Genomic DNA, 24,210 nt, shown 5'->3' on the forward strand with positions numbered 1-24,210 from the left:
AGGGGGCTCTGCATGTGGGCACTGGGTTAGGCAGGGACCTGGGGAAAGGTGGAGGGCTGAAAATGAGGATTAAATGAAAATCTTTCCCCCTAAAAGTGGGACCCTCTGCCCTATTCCCCTGCCCTACTCCCAGCACAGAGGCAACCAAAATTATAGCCTCAGGCAGGAAGCTGAAAACCTGCAGTCCCAGAGACCGAACCTATAGACACTGACATTGGGAGGCTGTCCAGTGCCAGGTTGCTGCCTGGCCACCCTGTTGTTGGTGAATGCTTTTAGTTGTATGTGTTTTACGTTCATAAAAGTAAAATCAACAAAATATTAAAATAAATACACAATAATATCAGAAGGTGATAAGTTCAATGCAGAGAATTCAGATAGGCTGATGCAACTGAGTGCCTGGGGGGCTGCCCTAGGTGGTGGGTCAGGGAAGGCCCCTCTGAGGGGGGCCACCGTGTGATCTGGGACAGAGGAAGCAGCTGAGAACGCGGCCCTGAGACCAGCGCATGCTTGGTATCTTTACAGAACCAGAAGAAGGATTGCGTCTTGGGGTCAGGTCACGGGAGAGAGGATGAGACAAGTTGGTCAGGTGGGCAGGGCCAGATGGTGCACGTGCTTTGTAAGCCAAAGCTAAGGAGCTCGGGCTGTCTCCCAGGTGGGGTGGCGAACCATCGAGGTTTATGGACAGGAGTGTCATGATCTGACCTGGGTGTGGGAGAGTCCCCCTGAGTCCTGTTGGAGTGATGGCAGAGGGACACAGAAGCCACGGCTGTAGGGGCCAGAGCTGGCAGTGGAGGTGGAGGGAGGCGGGACAGCTGCTGGACTTGGGGGATGGATGGGATGTTGGGGTGGGGGAAAGGGAGGAAGCAAGGAAGGTGATTGCATTTTTGGCTCCAGCTAAAATGAGATAAAAACACTTGAGGAACAGGTTTGGAGAGACAGTGAGGAGTCCTGCTTTGACCAGATTGATTTTGCAACTCCTGTGAAAGTGATACTGTCGTGGAGGCATTGGCGATGAGAGTCTGACACCCCAGTTTGAGGGGTCAGGGCTGGCGAGGTGCATTTGCGCGGCATTGGTAAGTAGGTGACCTCTTAGGCAGGGCGCCCGGGCGTGGTATTTCTCTGTCCGCCCTCCCGACTCGCTCCGTTTAGAAGCGGTGCGAGGCGTGCGGGGAACACTAGGTGGCGGTGAAGGCTCTCCTTCCCGCGAGCCCGCGGCCGGGACCTGCAGTGTCAGACCTAAACTCCTCGTTGGCCCAGATGTCCCATGAAGGCCTTGGCGCGTGAACAGCCATCTCACCCACAAACCCAAGAGGTATCTGGAAGCCTTTCCAAGAAGCTTTCCCCAACAGAAAGTAAAACAAAATTAAAATGTGTGCAGCTTTTACAAGGCCAGGTTGCTGCCTGGCCACCCTATTGTTCATGAATGCTTTCAGCTGTGAGTGTGCTTTACCTTCGTAAAAGTAAAATCAACAAAACATTAAATACACAATAATATCAGAAGGTGATAAGTGCAATGCAGGAAATTCAAATAGGCTGCCACGCCATCTGGGAGAAAGCCCTTAAGAGGAAGCAACCCAAGTCCTCAAAGAGGTGAAAACCCCATTTTACAGAAAAGGAAACTTAGGCTGGAGAGGTGACGGGACTTGCTCAAGGCCACAGGGCCAGGAAGCCACACGGCTTGGACTGAATCGGTCTGGTCCTGGGTGCCTCCTCGTGGAGAAAACGAGCCAGTGTTCAGACCAGCGGGCAGTGACGCCAGGATGGGGTCCCCCAGGCTGGGACGGGGGCCCTGGGTGTCCTGAGGTTTCCTGTTCTGAAAGAGGCTTTCATGTTGTCGAGCACCCCTTGGGGTCACACATCTGGGCGAAGAGCTAGAACTGAATTTGCACCCAGGGCTCCTGACTCCCCGTCCAGTGGCCTTTCCACAAAGGAAACACGTTGTGTTTCCTCTCCCGGGCATCCGTGAGATGGGGGCCAGACTGCAAGGCACCTGAGACGCAGGATCGCACAGGTTGGAAAAGGCTCCGCAACCGTAAGAAGCTCTTGCGAACCGCGATGCTGGGAGATTCCTAAGGAATCATCCAGCTGCGGGAGGCTCAGCCCAGTCCTCCCCACCCCGCCCCCATGCAGGAGCAAAGCGCCCAGAGGTCAGGCTGGAGGCCCCCGCCGGCCCCTCGCCGCTGATTCAGCCTTGCCCGTCTCCCTCCGCAGTTTGAGATCCGGCAGCTGCGCGCGCACCTGGCGCAGCAGGACCTGGACCTGGCTGCCGAGCGCGAAGCGGCGCTCCAGGCCCCGCACGTGCTCAGCCAGCCGCGCAGCCGCTTCAAAGTGTTGGAGGCCGGCACGTGGGACGAGGAGACGGCGGCCGAGAGCGTCGTGGAGGAGCTGCAGCCCTCGCAAGGTAAGCCCGGGTCTCCACCCGGCCCCAGAGTGTCACGGCCGGGGATCCCCCTCGCCTCCCTCTCGCGCCCCGGGACTGTGCGCAGAGTGGATGGGGTTCCTTTCAGGTGTGTGCCCCTCCTTCACTCGTGATTGGGGGACACGCTCAGATCAGTAGCCTCGGTACTGCCTGTCAGAGCCCAGGAGAGAGCATGTAGTCCAGCCACCGACCCAAACTAGAAATGACTCGTCCCCATTTCATGCCTGTGGCCACTGGCGTGCGTTGTGTGTGGTGTCTTCCCTGTCCTCGCGGTAGCCGGAGGAGGAGGTGTGACTTTTCTGTTGTATGGCTGAAGAAACCGAGACCCAGGAAAGCCGTCCAAAGGCGCATCGCTAATAAGTGGCAGAGCCAGGCTTCCAGACAGAGGTCTGGGGCTTCCTACTGGACTACCACCTACTGGGGCCCAAACAAGTCCAGGCCCGGGGCCACAGTAGCCCAGAGCTTGAGCCTTGCAGACGGTGAGAATTCACGAGACGGTGATGTTGGTGGAGATGGGAACACGAGCGATAGCCCAGGGTAGGGTCCTGTATGGAAGGGAGTTATTTCGAGATTCAAATCCCAACTCTTCTGTCAGCCAGTTATGTGATGGGACTCTCTTGGGGCCTTAGTTTTGCCAGCTGTCAAGTAGGAGCAGTACTGAGGCTTCCTCACAGGGCTGCTGCGAGGCTCAGAGGTTTCGGGAATTGCACGGGGCCACCCAAGCCAGGAAATGGTGGTACTGGGCTGGGAACTCGGGCTGTGGGACCCAAAACCCCAGCTTCATCCAGGAGCCACTCTGCCTTGGCATGCCGTGTCCCCTGCAGGGCAGTGAGGACGCAGCCGGGCAGGCTGAGCAGCTGGGGAGGCAAGAGGCCTGAGCTCCAGCCTCTGCCACTCCTCAGCTCCATGACTGGAGGCTTCAGTGTTCCCTTCTGTAAAATGGACTCTTAACTCCAGCTCTGTCTGCCTCACAGGACTTACGAGGAACCGATGGGTGTGAGAAAGCTCTGAGGGCTGTAAGGCACTGCAACACTGCAAACAGCTTTTGGGAAACGAATGGTTGCTTTTTTTTTGGAGACAGGGTCTCACTCCTGGAGTGCAGTGGTATCATAATAGTTCACTGCCACCTCAGACTCCTGGGCTCAAGTGATCCTCCCACCTCAGCCTCCTGAGTAGCTGGGATCATAGGTGTACACCATCTCACCCAATTAATGTTTTTATTTTTGTAGAGGTGGGGTCTTGCTATGTTGCCCAGGCTGGTCTCAAAGTCTTGGCCTCAAGTGGATCCTCCTGCCTCAGCCATGGAAAGTGCTAGGTTTATAGGCATGAGCCACTGTGTCCAGCCACTCTTTTGAGAGATCTTCAGATCTTAGAAACATAGGATTTGGGGGCTAGAGGGGATTTCTGGGTCCAGCCCTTCAGCTGATGTGAGAATCCCCTCTATAACTCTCTGCCATGAGCCATGCAGCCTCAGCTCGCCCTCCTCTAAGTGCTTCATACCTCCCTGGGGAACCCACCCCACCTCCACATGGCTCTGCCTGTAAGAAGATTCTTCCTCAGACTGCACTGAGGCCTGGTCCCCTGCCCCTGCCTCCCCACCAGCTGTGGGTTTCACGCACAGGCAGTGCCATCCCAGCTGAGACTGTTTAGAGATTGTTTCTCCTCCAGGGACCATCACCTGCATTCCCACAGCCAATCTTCGGGGACGTGCTCTCCAAGTTCTTGATGTACTGCCTCCTCCCAGAGCTCTCCAGCGTTTTGGTCCCTCTCAGAGTAATATCCACAACTGAATGCAATTACTGGGGCGCTGCAAGCCCAGGGCAGAATGTTGAGGTGGCCACTACTGCTTTTTTTTTTCTGGACCCAGGTCCCCACGATGCAGCCAGTAGGCTCCTGAGTTTGTGGGGACCACTTGGCTGAGCTCATAGCTGACCCAGCCTCACGTGCTCCCCACACAGCTCAGCTGAGCCACGTGTCCCAGCAGCCCAGCCTTGGGCAACAGGCTTTTTGTAGCCTCGTGCAGAACTTCACAATCATCAGCGTCCAGCTGTAGCTTGTTTGATTCCTGCCTTTACTCCAGGGCTTGGTAGGTCCTGATTCACAACCCATCGCCAATTCCTGATTAGTTGAAACAGCCCCCTTCTTCATCTTCATCGTTCAGCCTTTGTTATGTCTGGACCTTGCCCAGCTCCCTGCCCTCTGCAGTCTCCCCTCCCCCACCATACCGTGATTGTTCCAAAATCTTTCATGCCACTCCCCGACTTCCACCTTTCCTGGTTCCCTGTGTCCCTCAGGAGAAAGCCCACGCCCCTTAGGCTGGTGGATTAGTTTGCTAGGACTACCATAACAAAATGCCACAGACTGGCTAGCACAAACTAGAGAAGTGTATTGTCTCACAGTGCTGGGGGCTGGAACCTGAGATCAAGGTTGGGCACGGTTGCTTCCCTCTGGGGGCTGGGAGTGAGAATCTGTCCCACGCCTCCCTCTGGCTCCTGGTGGCGGCTGGCAATCCTTGGCATCCATGGCTTACAGTAGCATCACCCTGCTCTGCCTTCATCTGCACATGGCGTCCTCTCTATGCACATGTCTGGGTCTAGATTTCCCTTTTTTATAAGGGCCCCAGTCATATAAGGACCTCATCTTAACTAATGACATCTGCAACCGCTTTCTTTCCAAGTAAGACCACATTCTGAGGTACTAGGGGTTACGGCTTCAACATGTGAATGAAGAGGGGGTACCCATTCAACCCTTAAGAGGGGGCAGGCACATAAGACCCCTGACGATCTTGCCCCGGGCTGCTTCCCCAGCCTTATCTCCTTCCACCCCAGCTTGCCTTTCATTCTAGAGGAATGGAACAACCTTTAGTTCTGTAAATGTTCTGTACGGTTTCTGAGTCTCTGCATGCTGTTCATGGGATGGCCCAACCTGCCTACCAGACTTCTCTTCATGCTTAGAACCCATCTTAGAGTAAGCTCCCAGATCTCCACACCGTTCCCTGGCAACCTTACACCGACTCCCAGGTCCGGATCCTGCCCCACTGCCAGGAGCGTTTATGTGTGTCTCCCCTCTAAACTTACTTCAGGGCCTGCCTCAGTCAGGTCTCCATAGAGTTTGTTGCATTGAATGTAATCTTCAAGCCGGTAACTGATCAAAGAACAAAATAAGGCTGTCTGACATCACTTGTTCTGGTGTGGAGCCCTGCGTCTTCTCTGGGAGCTGAGGCCAGTCAGCAGTAGTCCACCCCAGAAACCCCACTCTTGGCTTTCAGCCTCTAGGCTTGTGCTTGTGGAATCCACCTTCTTATTCTTTTTGAAAGTTCTTCTGGAAGGTGGGAGCAATTTTTGCCCACTTCGCCTGGCTTCCTAAGGATGAAAGGAGCAGATTTACCATCTCAGCCCATTTCAGGATCTTCCTCTGTGACAGCCTCCTGGCTCTGCCCACAGCCCATCTTGAGGCTGCACCTCAACTCACCTGGGGCTTGGGCCTGCCCCGTGTTGTTCTTTCTGCAGGTCTAAGCACTCCCGGTACAGCTGCTCTCCGCAGCACCTCCTCTGTCTCTCTCATCAGGGTCATTGGCTTTAGAGCTAACAGCACAGCCCTTGTTGTCCCTCAGCCAATGACCTATAAGACCCTGAACGCCAGATGCCACATTTGAGCACACAGGGGAGCCAAGATCTGGGCTTGGAGGTTCCACAAAGAAACCAAGCCTTTAAAATACTCCTGCACATTCTAGGAGTGCTCTGAAGCTTTCAGTCCTGCCTGGCCCTCCTGCTCCTCCTCTCTCTGCAGCCCCCATAGTGGGCAACTTCCAGGAGGAGGAGGAGGGAGGCAGGGGCAGAAGGGAGAAAGCAGGTCAGAGTTGAAGGCCACTTGGGGGAAACTGATAGGCTATGTGTCACCAGCAGGATGTCACGGGGTCTGCAGTGTCCCTGCTAACCCTCCTGGAAACTAAGGTAGGGGATATCTGGATAGGGCAGGCCCAGGCCTCCCATAGAGGTGCCAGACACACACCCTGGGAGCAGGTGCAGATGCTTCTCCGTCCAGCCCTGGGATCCCCCTGCCCACTCTTCCCTGCTTCTTCTGGGGTGTCTCCTGGGTACCTCCCGGCTCTGTGGATACTGCCTGCCCCAGCCTAGGCACATTGTTTCACAGCCAGCCCCAGAGCATCAACAGCAAAGCCAGTGCCTCCAAGGCAAAGGGCAGAACACAGGGCTGGCGAGGAACACACATGATTCACAGCCTCGCATGGTCCAGGGACACAGGGCATCCCCCAGCTGATCTCTCCTTGACCAGGAACTGTGTCCAGGGAGGGATTTTCATGACATTAGAAATTATGGCTGGACAAGCTGAGAGCACTGTAGGCTACTCTGGAGATGAAGTAAGGGCAGTGCTTGTTGCTAACTAACTGTGACCTTCAGGCCAGCGAGGCTCTGAGGCCCACCTCATGCACAGGACACAGACAATCCAGGGATTAACCTACAGACATGAGCTGTGAGTCACAGAGCCTCGGGAGGGCCGTGTGTTTTGCAGGGTGGGGGAGGGCAGCCCAGGAGGGCGGGGTGCCAGCCCCAGCCGTGAGGAGGAAGCAGCTCCACAATCTCAACAGTTGCCAGCAGGTCACAGTCAGACAACGCCAAGCAGCTTCTGTTTAGACTTGCTGTAGCACAAATCATTTTTAAAACCTAGGCTGCAGAGTTCCAGGCTTTGGGGCCTGCCAAGTTCACAGTGCCCCTGTGTAGTCATTAATACTTCTCTCCCAAATTTATTAGTCTTGAAGCTCGCCCATAACTTATGAATTACAGCCCCTGGTGGGAGTGCCACGGATTTCACCATATATCACAGGGAACCTTCGCGTCCCCCACGCTGCTGCAGCATCCAGAGACACTGCCGCAGGGGTGCATGCGGCCAGCCTGCTCTGTGCCAGCCTCTGCCAGGCAGCCCCAGGGGAGGGAGCTGAGCTGGCACCAGTGCTTGTCCTTGGAGAGGAGCGGGCCTGGCTGATCATGAAGGCAAGGCTTTCCACTGGCCTCTAAATGTGTGGGCCTGACCGGGACACTGGGGACCCCAGGAACCCCAGGGCTGTAGGACTAGATCTGAAAGAGCCTCAGGCAAAGTAGCATTTGAAGCAACCGGAGGGACATGGGTTTAGAACTGAGGTCTGGGTTTGAATTTCAACTTGACTTTGAACAAGTTACTTCTGTGATCAGGGCTGGCTTCATGGATGCATGACCTGTGTGGTCACACAGGGCCCTAACTTTGGTTCACTGCTCTGCTGTTACCCTCTTGAAATTCTTAATACTTTTAAAACAAGGGACCTAGAAATTATGTAGCTGGTCCTGTCTCAGTCTTAGTGTTTTCAAAATGAAACAGGTGTAGAAGTTCTTCACTGAGAAGGATTGAGCATTTAGTCATATGCACAGCTCTCATCCCTTGTATACAGTAGGCGCTCAGTGAATATTAGTGCCCTCCCTTGGTGAGGGCTGCCAAGCCATGGAAGAGCAAGTTGGAGTTTAGGAGCAGGAGCCCAAACCAGGAATCAGAGCCTTGCCCTGGGCTTTGGGGCCTGGGTCTGCACAGGGCATGTGGTTGGCGCCCCATGCCCCTCTGCCACACCACAGTCCATGCAGCCTGGCCAGTCCCCACCACCTCCAGGAAGCCTGGCCCAGCTGACTCACCACCCTTTCTCTCCACCTCTGCCTCCTTGCTGGGCAGGTCGGGGGCTCCACCCAAGGGGTAAAACCCACATAATGAGCATTGGCACCGCTGCACTTGACGGGCTTTTAGGAGGATTAGTCAGGTTGGGTTTGCAAAGTGCTCACACCCTGGGAAGAAAGGCGCCAGGCAGCAGAGAGCAGCTGCCACAGAAAGCACTGAGACTTTGGAGCCAGGGGTTCAGGGAGGCAAGGGATGGCCCTGGGCTAAACATTCATGATCTCAGGGACTCTTTCCAGTTCACCAGCAGAGTAGGCATTTGCTATCCCCATTTTATGGATGAAGAAGCTGAAGCTCAGAGTGGCTAAGGGATCTACCTAAGGCCACACAGCATGTGCCCTGCAGAGCCGGGTTGGCCCTGGGTCTGTTTTGTTCTGAAGCCTGTGTTTGTGCCCATTCTTTCCTGCCCCTCCACGGACTGCACAGCACAGTCCCTTGGGGGTTCTTCCTGTGTGTCTCTAGGACTCCTCAGGGCTGAATCAAAGCAAACTCCCGGGGGCAGGGGCTTATTCTTAGATGGAAGGTGGGCAGCCCTGTGTGAGGCCAACAGTGTGGCCCATTCCCAGCCATAAACATCTGTGTCTGCCTCCCTTGCCACCCCTTCGCTCCCAGATCCCCCAGTCTCTCTGTAGGAGGAACCAGGGTGGGCAGTGAGACTTCCTACTGAGTGTGTGGTGACTCCATGGCTCCCTGGAGTAGGGGTGGAGGCTGGGAAGTCCCACAGGCCTCTGATCCAACCATAGTCTTCTGTCCAGTCCAGCCTAATGGTACTTGGCATATGCCAAACTCCATGCCAAGCACCAGGGAGACAGTAAAATGTGGCTTCTGCCCTCCAAGGCCCTTGGTCCCCCTCTGTGGGTGAAGACAGAACCGCAGCCCAAGTGTTCAGTTCTGGAAGAAGAGGATCCACCAGCCTGCATGACACAAGACAACAGGCAGGCCCGGCCTCAGCACCATTAGAGAAGTCCAGGCCAGCCTGGCTCTCAGACTCACGCCTTAAAGCTCACTCCAAGGCCCTGTGTGGGTCCAGGTCTGGAGCAGAGGGAGTAGGGACAGGGAGAGCAAGTGCAGACTGAAAAGACCCCTCATGGCCACCTAGGGACCTCGGCTCTGTGTCAGGCACATCCCGGGAGCAAGTAATCTAATTCATTGAACCCACAGGCAGGGCAGGAGTCCAAAGGGTAAACCATGAAGTCCAATCTAGGACTGGTCACAGGGCCAGGGGTCCCTCAACTGGTCACAGACTTGGTGGAAGTCAAAGTTGTTGGTAAGAGAGAGGCACTAAAAAGTGCCAGGGAACCAGTCACCAAGATGGAGGCGGATGGAGAAACCGAGTTCTATTTTGGACATGTTGAGTCAGAGGTAGCTGGAGGCCAGCCAGGAGTTGTCCGGGGACGGTCGGCCAGACCAGTCCGAAGCTCAGGAGGGATGTCTGGGCTGAAGGACTCAACTATGTAGGCAACACAGAGAAAGGAGAACGATCTAATACCTTGATAGACTGAGCCAGGACTCAGGATGTCTCCAGCAGGCTGACCCTCTGGGCTGAGCCCAGCAAGCTGATGTTTGCCCAGGGTGATGAGCCCTCCTTGGGGGTTACAATGAGTACAGGGTGGGGAAGGCCTGGTCTGGCCTCAGCTCCTGCAGAGAAGACCTGGGTGTCCGTGCTGGCCACAAGCTCCACATGAGTTGGCAGAGGAGGGCAGTTTCTGAACACGCTCGGAGGATGTGAGGGTGCATTAGGGCAGTGTGATCACATCGGATCTCGGGGCACTTGGCACAGTCTATTCAATAATCACGGCCTTTTAGCACAGGGGCAGGGAGATCAGTGTGTGAAGTGCGGACCCCTAGGTCTGGAGCTTTGAGAGTAAACACTAGTCCCTCCCTCCCATTCTGGTCACAGCTGGAGCCCATAGTGAAACGTTCAGGGTGGAAAGGCTGGGAAACCAGGGAGGGGTAGAGAATGCACAGGGGCTTTCCAAGGAAAGGAGACTTCCCAGGAGGGATGTGAGGGGCTTTTTAGGTGGTGGAAGGGCTGTCATGTAGACCGTGAGTAGAAATGGGCTTGTCCTTGGTACCTGTGTGGAGGGCAGGACCAGGACCTGTAAGCCTCACACATAGTAGGCCTTCCTGATTAAATGCTAATGGGCCGTTTGACCAGGAGTTGACGTCCCTGGAAGGCCCCGACTGTGCTCCCCGCAGACAGGGACTCCTGGGCTCAATACATGGCAGAGGGTGGGCTCACTGTGACTCCACTGAGCACAGATGAATGAGAAGCTGCCCAGGAGCTGATGACCAGAGCTGCTCCACTTCCTTAGAGGTGTGCAGGCTGTGGTGGAGACAGCCCTCTCAGGCCGGTATCCAGGGGACTCCTGTACTGGGGACTGGCCAAGATGCCTCCAGTCCCTTCGCACTCCGCTGTGACTCTGTCACCTCTTGGAACTTCAGAACCATCTGCCTGGCCCCATCACAATCTGAAAGAGCCTCGCCAGCGCCATCGGGGTACAGATGAAGAAACTGAGGCCCAGAGAGGGGATGGGACCTGCTTGAGCCCCCATGGCAGGCCAGTGGCAGCACAAGGACAACTCAGCATCTGGGATTTTCTCATTTACCCTGGCCTCCTCCTGCAAGTGGCTCTTGGGTTAAGGTTTCGCTGCTCTGTGGATACTTTAGCTGAGCTCATTGTCCTACTCACATCACATGGCCCTCTGGAGTCCCTGCGGGTGTGGTCTCAGGATAAAACCAAGATTGACCAGATCCCCCAACCTGGCCCACAGGGCCTGGGGGTCCTGAGCCTCCAGCTTGCAGGGATCAGTTACCCCTGGCTTCCCAGGGCAGCAGCCAGGCTAGACAGCATTGGCAGTACACACAGCGTATGGATGCCCAGCTGCAAGAAGAGTGTAGCTGGCTGATGAGGAGCAGGGCCTGGAGCCAGCCCGGGGCCCTCCCTCAACCCCAGCGTTAGTGCAAAACACACCTCTGACTGCAGGCATTTAAAGATCAAAAGAGGCCAGAAAAGCTTTTAAGAGCCAGGCCCTTCTGTGCTGCCTCCAGCCTCCCAGGGTCAGGGCAGACTGGCTTCTGCAGCTCACAGGTGTGCCTGGGAGGGGCCCTCAGAACACAGTGGGTCTGCTGACCCCATTCTTCAGAGAAGCTCCTGGGGGTGCAGACTCGGACTCTAGGGGCAGCCCTGGAGCACTTCCAGACTTCCACGGGGGAGGGAGGACAGCCCTCAGCCCTCCCATGCTGAGGGCTTTCTGGTGTCTGACCCCACCCTGGGCATTGCAGTCTCTGGTCTTCCTGCCACAGCCTCTCCCAATCACACCTGACCAAGTTCAGACCATCCTGTGGCCCCTCACTGCCTCGCTGCCCTTGGAACAAGGCCCAGCTCTTAGGATGGCTTTTGGGGTCTTCCAGCACCTGGCTTTCCTCCCACTCTCAGGCCACTCTGAAAATCTCAACTCTCCTCCCATTCCCTCCCTGCTCCTCTCAGGAGGTGAACCAAGATTCCTTATTATTTATTTGGAGACAGGGTCTCACTCTGTCACCCAGGCTGGAGTGCAGTGGTGTGATCACAGCTCACGGCAGCCTCAACCAATCCTCCCACCTCAGCCTCCCTAGTAGTTGGGACCACAGGTGTGCATCATCACGCCCAGCTAATTTTTAAAAGACCCTGTTCCCACCCCCCTTGACATGAGCTTTTCACCTCCCTTTCTGTTATTTGCTCAGTAATTATGTACTGAGTACCTACTGTGTGCAGGAACAGTGCAGGTGGTGGAGATCCCCAGCACCCCACCTCCCCAGGTCTGTTCCTATACTGCATGGAAGGCTGGAGCCCACAGGTGGATCGAGCCACGGGGGGCTATCTGGATGGCACCTCAGCCCTGTGGCTGGCTGTGTCCTGCAAATGGGATTTCAGGGCTTCTTTACCAAGGGCAGTGTTTCCAGTGCCCTTGAGAAGTTTAGGCAATGAAGGCTCAGGCCATCCAGACAAGGAAAAGCCCTGATAAATTATTTCCACACCCCTCATCTCAGAGATGGGGAAACTGGGGACAGAGGGGAAGGGGTCTGTCCAGGTCAGTACTAAGGCAGATGCTTCATCAGAACCTGGGTCCCCCAGCACCCAGTGCAGTCCAGCCCCTGGGGCAGGTGAGACAGGTGGTCCCCATGGAGAACTAAGAGGCAGCTCCCGTCACACACACCAAGGGCTTCTGTGAGACAGCTGCCTTCTCTTGTGACCGTGGGGGTGGGGACAGGAGTATAAGGGGTAGAGAATGAACTTGATGCACTCACCCTTCTCTGTCCCCACCTCTGTAGAAGCCACGATGAAGGACGACATGAACAGCTACATCAGTCAGTATTACAATGGGCCCAGCAGTGGTAAGTCTGGGTTGGGGCTGTTCTACATGTGCCACAACCCCAGCAATCCCTAAACCCAGAGACAACTCGGCCTGGCTTCAAAGCATGCCCATCACCTGGTGCCTGTGAACCATAACTGCAGGCAGTGCTCAAGGTTAAAATATCGGAGCTTCAGCTTCCAGCAAACTCCAGCACTGGAGCTGGGGGTCCCCAGGGGCTGAGCCTGCAGGTGCCAGGATAGGGGTGCTCTGTGATCACCCATAAGAACTGCATGTGGAACCCTGAAATTGGAAGGGGGTTGGAATCCAGAACTCCAAGTGACCTCAGTGCCCACCTGCACACATGTCAAGGTGGGCACAGTGGAGGCTGAGGTGCCATAGCACCCCTGGGTGTGAGAAGCAGCAGGCCTTGGGTACATTCCTGCTGGATGTTCTTGCACTTGAAAAAAACCTCAGGGAAGCCTAGTGGTTTTTACTTATGGGAAAAATTGAATTTTAAAATAACGCTGAGGCCTTGGGTGTCTCGTTTCTCCATAGCCCCCTTTCCAGTTCCGGGTTCCACATGCAGTTCTTGAGTTTGAATTTCGCAGCCCCCAAAACCTTGTATGCTCCATTGTAAGGCTAGAATATTATGTTGGGCCATGTGAGTAATGCATTTGAATTTTTTGTTTTCCACAATTTAGTCTCCCTAAGGCCTCATCCCTCTTCTCTCCTCCCTCAAAGCCTCATCCAATATGCTGGTTTCAAAGACCACCGTCTCCAGCCCAGACCTCTCTCCCAGTCCTCCACAACTTTGGGGAGAAACCTCCCCACCCTGCACCCTCTGTAGGTCAGCCCCGTGGTACATCTCACCTAGAGCAAAGAGCTCTGAGCATCCTCTGATCCTGTGATGCATGCTAAGCAGGCTCTGATCATCCCACCCCGCAGCCCCCACCCCTGCCAGTCCATCTGAAACTGAGTCATTCCTCAGACCATGGAACCCAAGTTCCCTGCCCTGGCACACCAAGTTTCCTGAGTTAGGATGGGCTAGGTTAGGCAGCTGTGGCAAATAACCCTGCATCTCGATGGTTTAAACAAACAAAGCCACAAAAGCCCACTGTAGGTTGGCTGGGGGCTCTGCTCCTGGGTCATCACTGTTACTCCAGCACCCAGTTGACAGAACAGTCACCATCTATCCTAGAACATTTGCCAGGGTAAAGCACCAGCTCATAAAGCTTCTGCCCAGAAGTGCCACAGGTCACTTCTCATGGGTAACTGGCCAAAGCGTGTCACACGCCTACACTTGAGTTTAACAAGATGAGGCATAATACCCCTCAAAGCAGGGCAGTGATGTTGGAGAACTGGGAGGGAGTTCTACCAAGGCCTCCTTCCACAAAGGCACGGTCTCCTACAGCCTAGCCACACTCATTGCCCACCGCCCGGCTCAGACCTGCTCTCTTCAGGGCCCCCAGGTGTGGCAGAGGTTGAAGTGTGACCAAGATCCCCTCCTACCTTGCAGACAGCGGTGTCCCAGAGCCAGCTGTGTGTATGGTCACCACGGCCGCAATAGACATTCACCAGCCCAACATCTCCTCGGACCTCTTCTCTCTGGACATGCCCCTCAAACTCGGCGGTAATGGCACCAGCGCCACCTCGGAGAGTGCCTCCCGCAGCTCAGTCACCCGGGCCCAGAGTGACAGCAGCCAGACGCTGGGCTCCTCCATGGACTGCAGCACTGCCCGCGAGGAGCCGTCCTCTGAGCCCGGCCCTTCTCCCCCGCCGCTGCCATCCCAGCAGCAGGTGGAGGAGGCCACAGTCCAGGACCTGCTGTCCTCCCTGTCGGAGGACCCCTGCCCTTCCCAGAAGGCCTTGGACCCAGCCCCCCTCGCCCGGCCCAGCCCAGCGGGCTCGGCCCAAACCAGCCCCGAGCTGGAACACAGGGTAAGTCTGTTCAACCAGAAGAACCAGGAGGGCTTCACTGTCTTTCAGATCAGGCCTGTCATCCACTTCCAGCCCACTGTGCCCATGCTGGAGGACAAGTTCAGATCTTTGGAATCCAAAGAGCAAAAGCTGCACAGGGTCCCTGAGGCCTAGAGCCTGCCATGGGCTGGGTGAGATGAGGGGAGACAGCCATCTCAAAGCTCTCCTGGGACCCTGGAGGCTGCCAAGGGCCACACGCGGGGCCCAGGAGCCCACCTGGCCTCCCTCAGGGTGCTGCCTGCCTCCAGGGAGGCGACGCCAGGCCAGGAGGCCACAAGCTTCAGACCTCAAAGCCCAGAGCTGGCGCCTCTTCTCGCCCTGCTCAGGGGAGGGTGGTGCTCGTGGCTGGGTTTTCTTTTTAACCATTTTTACAAAAACCAGCCTGTGGCCCAGCTTCAGCAGGGTAGAGTGTGGGGGGGCCAGCTCAGCCTCTTGCGTTGCCTTCGTTCCTGACGCCCACCCTGGACTCTAGGGAACAGCACTGTGAGCAGGGGCTGTCCAGCCCCACCCCTAAGCCGTCTTTCCCAGGAATCCTGGGTGGAGTCCAACACAATCACACGGAGACCACCATCTGAGCCTATGTCATTTGTCCTCATTCTCATTCCAGCATGAGCGTTTCTGAGTCTCTTCAAGACGAATCTAGTTTTCACCTTCACAGGATATAAAGGGATCAACCTAGAGGTGGGTGGGAGGGTCCTAGAGGGCAGGGGAACAACCATTTTCCAACCTTGGCTTTAATAATAAAAACCAGCTGCACTGAGACTCCCAGTTGGTGGAGGTTTTCCTTTGATTGCTAGCCCAGGTGAGGTGTCCAGAGTGGTTCCCAGCCAGGGCACCACCATCCACCCAGTTTCAGATACACATGGCATCCCAGGCTCCCTCCTCGTCCCGTGAGCAGTCGTGAATCCTGGTCATTCCACCCTCCAAATTGCTTGTCCCTGGCTCCCATCACGGCCGTGCTGAGACCCAGGCCCCTTGCCGGACTGGACTGCAGCAGCCTCCTCTTTGCACAGCCTCTGGTTTCACCCTCCCCAGTGTATCTTCCCAGGCAGCTAAGCCTCAGCGCCCCTGCTTAAAAGCCTCCAAGGGATTTTGTGTGTATAACCATCATGTGTGTATGACCATCATGTTTTCTTTTATATGCGGAGGGGAGTAGAGAAGACATAATTTTTTTTTTTTTTTTTTGAGACGCAGTCTTGCTCTGTTGCCCAGGCTGGAGTGCAGTGGTGCGATCTCGGTTCATTGCAAACTCCACCTCCCGGCTTCATTGCCATTCTCCTGCCTCAGCCTCCTGAGTAGCTGGGACTACAGGCACCTGCCACCACACCTGGCTAATTTTTTGTATTTGTAGTAGAGACGGGGTTTCACCGTGTTAGCCAGGATGGTCTCGATCTCCTGACCTCGTGATCCGCCCGCCTCAGCCTCCCAAAGTGCTGGGATTACAGGTGTGAGCCACTGCGCCCGGCAAGAAGACATAATTTTTTTTAAGGGCTCCCATTGCCTCAAGAGAACATTGAGTGTGACTCAGCCCCTTCGTGAGCTGGCTTGCTTGCCCCTCTGGCTGTCCTCCCATGCCTCTGTCCAGCCTGTTCTTTCTCCCCTCTACCTTGGTCTGGGTTATGCTCACCGTGACAGTGTCCTGCCTGTCCTCACCACTAGGCTGGGTGTCCTTGGAGCTCCTGTGGCCCCCCTGGACTCACCTGACAGTGCACCATGTCCCTGGCTTGGTCAGCATCTGCTTCCCTGCCTGCCTCCCAGGCTGGTCCTCAAGAACAACGAGCAGGCCTGAGCCCCATTAGAATCCCACAGGCCTGGGCATGGAGCCACTTGGGAAAGATGGCTGAATTGGAAGAAAGGGAAGGAAATTACCACGTGCTGGCAAAGAGCACCCTCCTGATTCATGGGGTGATGAACAGTTGTTAAAAAAGTGCTAAAGGTGGCAACATCCAACTGAGTCACTCTTGCGGTGTAATTAGAAGACCTACCAAGGGGAAGCTTTTGCAAAGGGCAAGAGTGGCTAACCTGAGGCGTCACCAGCAGCACTGCCATAGCATCCATCACTGGACACTGGGCCAAGGCCCCTACTCACATGGGCTCCTTTAACCCTTCCAGCGACACTGTGAGGCAGGTATCACTAACCCCATTTTACAGTTGAAGAACCTGAGGCTCAGAGAGATTGAAGAAACTTTCTGAGGTTGAACTCTAATGACAGGCCCTGAAACTGGGGCCCAAGTCTGCTGGCACCATGCCAGGCCCTGGGGTTCCCAGAGTTTAGAGCTTTGGGAAGCAAAGCAGTCACTTGGCTTTTGCCACTTGATGGGCTGGAGGGTATTACATGGTTTGTAATCTGTAGGGCAGAAGCCAGTGGGCTCCTTAACTGGTGATCTCCACCCAGTGGACTAGAAATGGCCACCCTCCTCCTCCAGGCTCACCTTGCTGAGCTGTGACTGGCCTTCTGCAGAGCTCCATTGTACCAGCTCTTGGGCTAGTGCTGCTACCTCACAGGCACATGAACCTGGCCCCATGCCAGGGGGAGCTGCAAGGCCGACTGCCAAGGCTGACTGCCAGCACTCGCGTCCGCTGGGGACTCCTACTCCAGGGAAGAACCACAGGATGGGGAGGGATGCCATGGGAAGGATGCTAGGCAAGTGGCAGCTGTTCTCTTCAGTTTGTCCTCTAGGAAATGGGTCTCTAGAGAGCTCCACTTTTTTTTTTCTTTTGTTGTTTGTTGTGTTTTGTTTTGTAGGCACTCCACCTTTTTTTTTTTTTTTTTTTTTTGAGACAAAGTCTCACTGTCGCCCAGGCTGGAGTGCAGTGGTGTGATCTCGGCTCACTGTAACCTCCACCTCCCAGGTTCAAGCGATTCTCCTGCCTCAGCCTCCCAAGTAGCTGGGATTACAGGCGAGCACCACCATGGCCAGCTAATTTTTCTATTTTTAGTAGAGACGGAGTTTCACCATGTTGGCCAGGCTGGTCTCGAACTCCTGACCTCAGGTGATCCACCTGCCTTGGCCTCCCAAAATGCTGGGATTACAAGTGTGAGCCACCGTGCCCAGCCATTTTTTTTTTTTTTGAGACAGGGTCTTGCTCTGTTGCCCAGGCTACAATGCAGTGGCGTAATCATGGCTCATGCATCCTCACCCTCCCAGGCTCAGATGATCCTCCCATCTCAGCCTCCCAAGTAGCTAGGACTACAGGTGCACGTTGCCATGCCTGGCTAAATTTTGTGTTTTTTGTAGAGATGGGGTCTTGCCAAGCTGCCTAGGCTGGTCTGGAACTCCTGGGCTCAAATGATCTGCCCACTTCAGTCTCCCAAAGTGTTGGGATTACAGGCATGAGCCACTGGGCCCGGCCAGAACTCCACATTTAAAAGCGGATTTCTTGGGGTATTTACAAGTTGCTGTAAGGTGAGACCCTGCTGAGCACTTGTTGTTGCCTTCATGTTGTGTTGGAACTGCCTCACAGATAGAGGCTGGGGACAGAGATAACAGGTGGTCCCCAAGTCCAGAGTCCACAACAGTCACAGCGTAAGACAGTACACACAGATGAAGGAAGCTACTTACTTGCCTGGGGACATCTGAAGGCCTCACAATGGAGGAAACATTTAAAGGCGATTTTAAAAGAGTAAGTATACCAAATCAACTCTTCTGTTTGTCGTGGAAGAGGAGAGCTGTTTTTAGGGGTAGTTTCAACGCTGAGCTACAAAACTGGCCCACTTCCAGAGAATGTGAGCAGGGAATTTTTGATTATCTCCCTGACATGAAGTCAGTTGTTAAACCACTTAAAGGGGAAAAAAAGGAAGGAATGTCAGGAGGAGGGTGGTGGGACAACAGTGCAAGCAGAGGAACAGCAGTGAGCTAGGCAGGGTTTGGGAACAGGGAGAAGTTTGGTGTCAGGAAGAGGATGGAATGGGTAGGAGGGGGAAGGGACCACATGAGAGCAACCTGGAAAAGGACAGGTGAGGCTGCTCACCAGAGGCCTTGGATGCCAGGCCAAGCCAGATGTTCTCCCTAGAGATAAAGCGCTATGGAAGGGCTACCACAGAGTCTTCTGGTAGTTGCAGAGGAGCAGCCAGAGGGAGGGGCCCGTGCCCAGAGGAGAGGGAACAAGGCTGCACATGGGCAGGCAAGATGAAGGCAGCGGTGGTGGAGGAGACGCTGGGGACACCTGACTGATGGGACTTGGGGGAACTGATGAGGAGGAGATGCCACCATTTCCAGTCTGTGGTGTCTGAGCATGAGACATCAGGATGGCTGTGCCTGGCACCAAGAGCACAGAGAAGGATGCCAGAGCCAGGAACATGGCAGTCCTTTCTGCAGACTCCAGAGCCCTTCCTCCAGCCCATCCCACAGCAAGTCCTAGGGTGGGGCCTGGGGGCCTGAAGTGCAGGAGATGGAGGTAAAAGCTTCGCCTTTCATGGCTCCCCTGGGCACCATATCCTACAGTTATGGCTGGCGGGCAGCTGGGGGCTGAGGGAGATGGAGCCTGAGCACTCCCTGGGAGGTTTGCAGCTCTGGGAAATGGCTCCCCGTTCTCCTGCACCCTTTTGGAGAACCCACTCTGGTGGCCCAGAGGAGTCATCGGGCTGTCCCTGAAGGGAGGGTCTGGTAACAGCCACTGTCTCCTGCTAGAACAAGAGGGTGGTAACAATAGTGACTCCCACGTCTGCATTTCCTGTTGTGACAGGTGCTCTTCACAGGCTTCCCTCCTTAGCACAGCCCTGGAAAGTGGGCGCTATCTTCCCTGCTTTACAGAGGAGAAAACAGCAGCCATGGAATGACTCATTCAGGGGCTTGCCCAAGGGCACACAGCTAACTAGTGAGCTGTAGTGGCAGGATTCAAACCCAGGTCTGGCTGGATTATATGCCATGCTAGATGTGAAATGAGCTGTCCAGAATCAAACCAGGTGCCACCAGGAAAGCCAAAGTAAGAAATCAGGACTCAGAGCCAGCAGTGCTGGTGACTGGCCCACCAGGGAGCTGGGCCAGAGTCTGCAGCCCCAGCCTGAAGCCCACCCAGGATGAGGGAACCATAAGGCCTTCCCTGAGTGGCACAACAGGCCCCTCTCCAGCCAGCCCTGGGCAAGGTTCCCAACCAAAGTGTGGCTTTTCAGATCAAGTCCCACAGACAGGAGTGTTGGGATGGAACCTGTGTGGCTAGAGGCTAGTGGCTTGGAATTCTATTTAGCATGGTGGGTGTCCACCTGAAATTCAACTCAGGAGCTCCTTTCTCCTTCCAAGACAGCTCTTGACGGAAGCCAGAGTCAAAAGAGCATGGCTTCCGCCTTGGTGCTGCCGCCACGCTCCTCCCTGGTGCTATTCAGTTACCTCTAAAGAGAGAAGACAGAGTTGGGGTCCCACTCTTGGAGCTGCTGACAAATTATCTGGGCCCAAGGAATCCCTCTTACTAACAAGCTGACAGTACCCTGTGCCCCACTCAACACCTGTGTGGAGTTGCTTCACAAGGACCCCCAACAACTCTGGGGGCTGAAACAGCCAAACCATGGACATCTCAGGGCTGGAGAGAGGTCTGTTCATCCCACTCTCTCCCATGCCTCCTACCTCAGGTGCCACTGTACCTATGCACGGGATGTGGCAGAGACTGGATTCTCAGCCCAGCCCTGTTTCTGGTTTGCTATGAGGCTCCAAGCAAATCCTTAGACCTGCTTCCTCCCCATGTACAACAGGAATGATCTTGTGCCTCCCACCCTGAAGGCTGCTGGGATAGCTAATGATGTAACAGAAGGGAAAACCCTTTGAGAATGTTTCAGGGGAGACACAAACAGAAAGCATCCTTATTAATGAGAAGCCTGGGGTGTTTTACTGCCAGCACATGCTCAGCACTTTTGGGGTCAGCTGCCCAGGAGACGCTCTTGCTGCTGCTGATAGTCTGGTGTGGGAGGGTGGCAGTGAGCCCCGCCCCTAGTCATAACAGCCAGTCCAGCCACTGCCTGCTCCTCTCCTGAGTGCATCCCTGCTCGCACATACTCATTTGTTCCATGCCTGTATTCACTCTGAGTGAGGTAAGAGAGCACTGTTATCCCCCAGACAGGAGGCACCTTATCTTCCTTCCTCTCCCTTTGGTCAGTACTATTGGAGTACTACTGGAGTACTTGCCAAAAACTTGTATTTCCCTCACATTAACTAAGTGAGGAATTCATCACTATTCTGAATATCTTTGACTCCACTGCTGAAAAGTTTGGTATTATCTCCTGGTGAATAGTTAATTATCCAAGGAAAATGATGAAACATTTGCTGCTAAAATTTATTGCAAGCTACCAGGAGACAGGGCTGGCATAATTTTATGCAGAGCCCCAGGCTGCAACATAGGGAAGCAGGCTGCCTCTTCATCCTGAAACAAGCAAATGAAATTGACTACCCTGGAGATCAATCAGGACATTAAACACTGTGATGGATGTGGCAGAATTCTTCAGTGTCTGAGATTTATGGGTCACCCTTCACCGAGCACTCTAGGAACCTCCCCAACATCAATTAGGCCTCATAACTAGGTATGCTCACCTCCGCCTCCACTGATTAAAGAAGCGATAGGGGGTTCTGGGACCTGCACCGTGCTAAATACCACAAAAGGCCAATGAGCAGACTGGATCCAGATTGCAGTACAAAGACCCCTGCTTCCCTGAGCAAAGAGTGGTTCAGAATGGAGGAGTGTCCGGCTAGAAGGGGACTCATGCATCAGAGTCTAGACCTTGCATTTTCCAGAGAAAGCAGCTCAGTGTGTCATGTTCCTGGGTAATCCTGTTCTTTGTCCATGCTGGCCTTCTGCCTGGAATGCACTTCTTCATCTGGTTGATTTTGCTGCCCCTTCTGAACTTGGTGAGGCCTTCATATCTTGCTGCCCTGCACTGCAGCCCACCCTAGTCAGGCTAGATTAGGTCCATCCTCTGCACTCCCATTGAGGCACTTGGGATATGGCATGTGGTTGGGAGCAGACTGGCCTGTGGTCACCATTTACTAGCCATGCGTCCTTGGGCAAGTGTTTTAAGCTCTGTAGGCTTTAGTTTTCTCATCTGAAGAAGAGTTGCTGATAATCCTTGGCTTATATAGCACTTTCATGTATGTCACCCCATCAGTGGGGGAAAGAGTAGGAAACATTCAAGAAATCAGAATCTCAGGAGAAGAGGCAGTTTGCCCCAGGTCAAACCTACACCTTGTGAGGTTATGAGACGTAAATGAGATAACGTATGTAAAGGGCTCAGCACAGCATCTTGGGCATAAGAAGCCCTCAAAAACAGTATTCACTGTCTCCATCTACTCACCTCGTATGACACCCACCAATACACTCATAGGTTAAAGCTTGTTATCTAGAAAGATCACCTAGTTCACATCGCCATTTTACAGATGATTAAAATGAAACCTGAAAGGAGGGAAGGTGACCAGGGTGCCTCTGGGGCAGTAACAGGAACAGGATGAGAACCCAAGGCTCCTGTTGACCAGTCCACCCAGTGGTCTCCAGGTCCCAGACCCAAATGTCCCCTATGCAGCCCACGCTGGGAAGGAAACACAGCTGGAGGTGAGCACACAAAAAGAAAGCACTCACCTGTCTTTAACCACATGCCCAGTTAGTTGCAGGAGATGAAGAAGGCAAAGGCCACGCAGATAAAGCCACCCCAGGGCCTCCCTCTCACCAGTCCCAATGCCACAGGAAGTAAATGCCAGCTTACTTCACAGAAAATCCCTAATTCCATCGGTGTTCCTTGCTTCTAATGGCAAGCCTGCTGTTTTGAAGCAATGCAAACCAGAGGATATAGTCCTGGAGAGAATGGGAGGACCACAGTCTAGTGGACAGGCCAAGTTTTCCAGACCTGGAGTCCAGTTCAGGTCCCACATCTCACCAACTGCCTCTGGTCATCTCTATGCTCATTTCTTCATCCAGAAGGTAGGCGTAATGATATACACTTTAGAGGAGCCTGTATTAGAAGGGTATATAATGTACCCAACACACAGGGAGTTCTTAATAAGTAGTATTTGTCCAAAGTTCTGTTTGTGTTCCAGTTCTATCACATGTGTTGTGACCTGGGGCAAACTGCCTCCTCTCCTGAGAGTCTGATTTCTTGCATGTTTTCTACTCTTTCCCCAACTGATGGGGTGACATACATGAAAGTGCTTTATAAGCCAAGGATTAAAAGCAACTCTTCCTTCATTTGCTCCCCACAAAGATTTTTTAAAAACACCAGAGCTGTAAGAAATTATGGCAGTGTATCATCCTACATGGACTTTTCACAAGGTTATCAGTCAAGCCTCCTTTAGCTCAGCAACAGCTAACCAAATCCATCTGCTACATTCAATGGTGTTCTCTGGGTTTCCCAGCCTCTTCAGCCCACTTTTATGTAAACTCAAACAAAAACCCTTAGTGAAAGACAGCGTGAAATGCAATCAGGCTGACCCTCCCTTTCAGAAAGAGAGCAGAAAGTGCACCTAGGGCTGGGGTTTCCAGCCCTCCAGCCCAGCAGACATGCTCAGGCTCTGGAGGCAGCAGGGCTCCCACTGCTATCCTGGGAGGAAGAGCCCTGCCCTCTGCCAGCCTTGCCCACAGCACTGGACCCATTTTCACAATCTCCAGGAGCCCATCCCCAGCCAAATCCATCTGGAGCCAGAGGATTCAGCCCCTAATGGCTTCCATCTTCTCCTCCCTCCCTCTGTCCTGCATACACCACCAAGTTATAGGCCTTCCTCAAAAACTATAAATGGCTCCCTGTTGCCAGCGGTGTTTCTTAAGACTTGTTCAGGTGGCACAGTAGTAAGTCATACAGTTTTTATGGGACATTCTTAATATACTGACATATCTAATTCTAACAAACAAGGAACAATTACCAACTAGCAGAAAGTATTTTAAATATTCAACAAAATCCCTGATATGTCCCAAGACAAAAACAAAAGCTGTGGTGGGTCAGTGGCTGCTGCTCTTTGTTCAGATCCACTTGCTACTGTCCAGTCACCTTGGAATCTGCTCACATTCTTAAGAAGACAAGGGGTAGCAGCTACCAAAGGTTTAGAAAGAAGTATGCAAGAAAGACTTAAGACTGGGAAACTGCTGTTGATAAATTTTTCCTGCAAATCAGGAAAAGTCCTGTATGGTATAACTTTCACAGTACCATCACTGGTCCAGTGGAAATGGCAGTGTTCCTTGAGGGCAAAGTCTGAGAACCATTGATCTCTAAGGAAAAAGGCCTCCTCAGCCTGTGAGTCAATGTCCTCTCCAATCTGGCCTCAACTACCTACCACCCTCACTCCTCTCCCTGACCCCAGTGTTTCTGCCCCTCACTGCCTCATGCACCTGAGCTCTGATATCATTTTCCACTTCTGCTCCCCTGCCTGCGAGGAATGGCCATGCCAGCCTCCTGATGAGCCTTCTCTGTATATGCTGTCCATCCTGAGACCTGCTTTCTGCTTTTACTGATGTCTCATCTCATCTTTCCTGGTAGCTGTAAAATCCTTCAGGGCGGGGGCTGTGGCTCCAACAGCCTGTACTCTCAGAGTCTGGAAGGATACCGTCCCTCCCTGTCAAGACCACAAGCTACTTCGGGGCAATGGCTGGACCACACACTTTTCTAGGTATTTTCTTCAGAATCCCAAACAGCACAGCTGGTGAGCCAGAGAACCCAGCAGGGAACATGTCCCCACAGAATTGCTGAGAGCGAGTGGGACCTGGGGGAAAGCTGATGCTGTCCCCTCTCAACTACTAAGAAGCTAGGCCCAGGGCCATTACTAGGCCTCAGGCCTTCTGCAAGTAAAGAGGCCTTCTGCA

General features: G+C 54.0%; 1 protein-coding gene across 4 annotated transcripts in view, besides 7 other annotated features; it reads left to right on the plus strand.

The window, feature by feature from the left end:
• The window catches only part of TMEM266 (transmembrane protein 266), a 144,979-nt gene extending 129,772 nt beyond the window's left edge, over positions 1–15,207 (plus strand). For all 4 annotated transcript variants that reach the window (XM_047432151.1, XM_017021915.2, NM_152335.5 and 1 more), the window contains 3 exons: positions 2,212–2,401; positions 12,446–12,508; positions 13,985–15,207. In XM_047432151.1, coding sequence (XP_047288107.1) covers positions 2,212–2,401; positions 12,446–12,508; positions 13,985–14,559 — 828 coding nt within the window. In that variant the 3' untranslated portion in view covers positions 14,560–15,207. The remainder of the gene's footprint in view (positions 1–2,211; positions 2,402–12,445; positions 12,509–13,984) is intronic.
• Positions 341–494: a silencer, noted in NCBI's record as "fragment chr15:76482438-76482591 (GRCh37/hg19 assembly coordinates)". NCBI's record gives its function as "represses an EF-1alpha promoter that drives an FKBP-Casp9 reporter gene in an ReSE screen in HepG2 liver carcinoma cells {active_cell/tissue: HepG2}" and the evidence as "EXISTENCE:reporter gene assay evidence [ECO:0000049][PMID:32094911]".
• Positions 1,276–1,345: an enhancer, noted in NCBI's record as "active region_9876". NCBI's record gives its function as "activates an Ori minimal core promoter by ATAC-STARR-seq in GM12878 lymphoblastoid cells {active_cell/tissue: GM12878}" and the evidence as "EXISTENCE:reporter gene assay evidence [ECO:0000049][PMID:35858748]".
• Positions 6,322–6,883: an enhancer, noted in NCBI's record as "H3K4me1 hESC enhancer chr15:76488419-76488980 (GRCh37/hg19 assembly coordinates)". NCBI's record gives its function as "activates a minimal SCP1, AML or CMV promoter by ChIP-STARR-seq in naive H9 embryonic stem cells {active_cell/tissue: H9 hESC(naive)}" and the evidence as "EXISTENCE:reporter gene assay evidence [ECO:0000049][PMID:30033119]".
• Positions 6,884–7,443: an enhancer, noted in NCBI's record as "H3K4me1 hESC enhancer chr15:76488981-76489540 (GRCh37/hg19 assembly coordinates)". NCBI's record gives its function as "activates a minimal SCP1, AML or CMV promoter by ChIP-STARR-seq in naive H9 embryonic stem cells {active_cell/tissue: H9 hESC(naive)}" and the evidence as "EXISTENCE:reporter gene assay evidence [ECO:0000049][PMID:30033119]".
• Positions 7,444–8,003: an enhancer, noted in NCBI's record as "H3K4me1 hESC enhancer chr15:76489541-76490100 (GRCh37/hg19 assembly coordinates)". NCBI's record gives its function as "activates a minimal SCP1, AML or CMV promoter by ChIP-STARR-seq in naive H9 embryonic stem cells {active_cell/tissue: H9 hESC(naive)}" and the evidence as "EXISTENCE:reporter gene assay evidence [ECO:0000049][PMID:30033119]".
• Positions 9,203–9,847: an enhancer, noted in NCBI's record as "H3K4me1 hESC enhancer chr15:76491300-76491944 (GRCh37/hg19 assembly coordinates)". NCBI's record gives its function as "activates a minimal SCP1, AML or CMV promoter by ChIP-STARR-seq in naive H9 embryonic stem cells {active_cell/tissue: H9 hESC(naive)}" and the evidence as "EXISTENCE:reporter gene assay evidence [ECO:0000049][PMID:30033119]".
• Positions 9,848–10,491: an enhancer, noted in NCBI's record as "H3K4me1 hESC enhancer chr15:76491945-76492588 (GRCh37/hg19 assembly coordinates)". NCBI's record gives its function as "activates a minimal SCP1, AML or CMV promoter by ChIP-STARR-seq in naive H9 embryonic stem cells {active_cell/tissue: H9 hESC(naive)}" and the evidence as "EXISTENCE:reporter gene assay evidence [ECO:0000049][PMID:30033119]".
• Positions 15,208–24,210: the final 9,003 nt, after the last annotated feature.

Source organism: Homo sapiens, chromosome 15, assembly GCF_000001405.40.
Source record: "Homo sapiens chromosome 15, GRCh38.p14 Primary Assembly".
Classification (NCBI taxonomy): domain Eukaryota; kingdom Metazoa; phylum Chordata; class Mammalia; order Primates; family Hominidae; genus Homo; species Homo sapiens.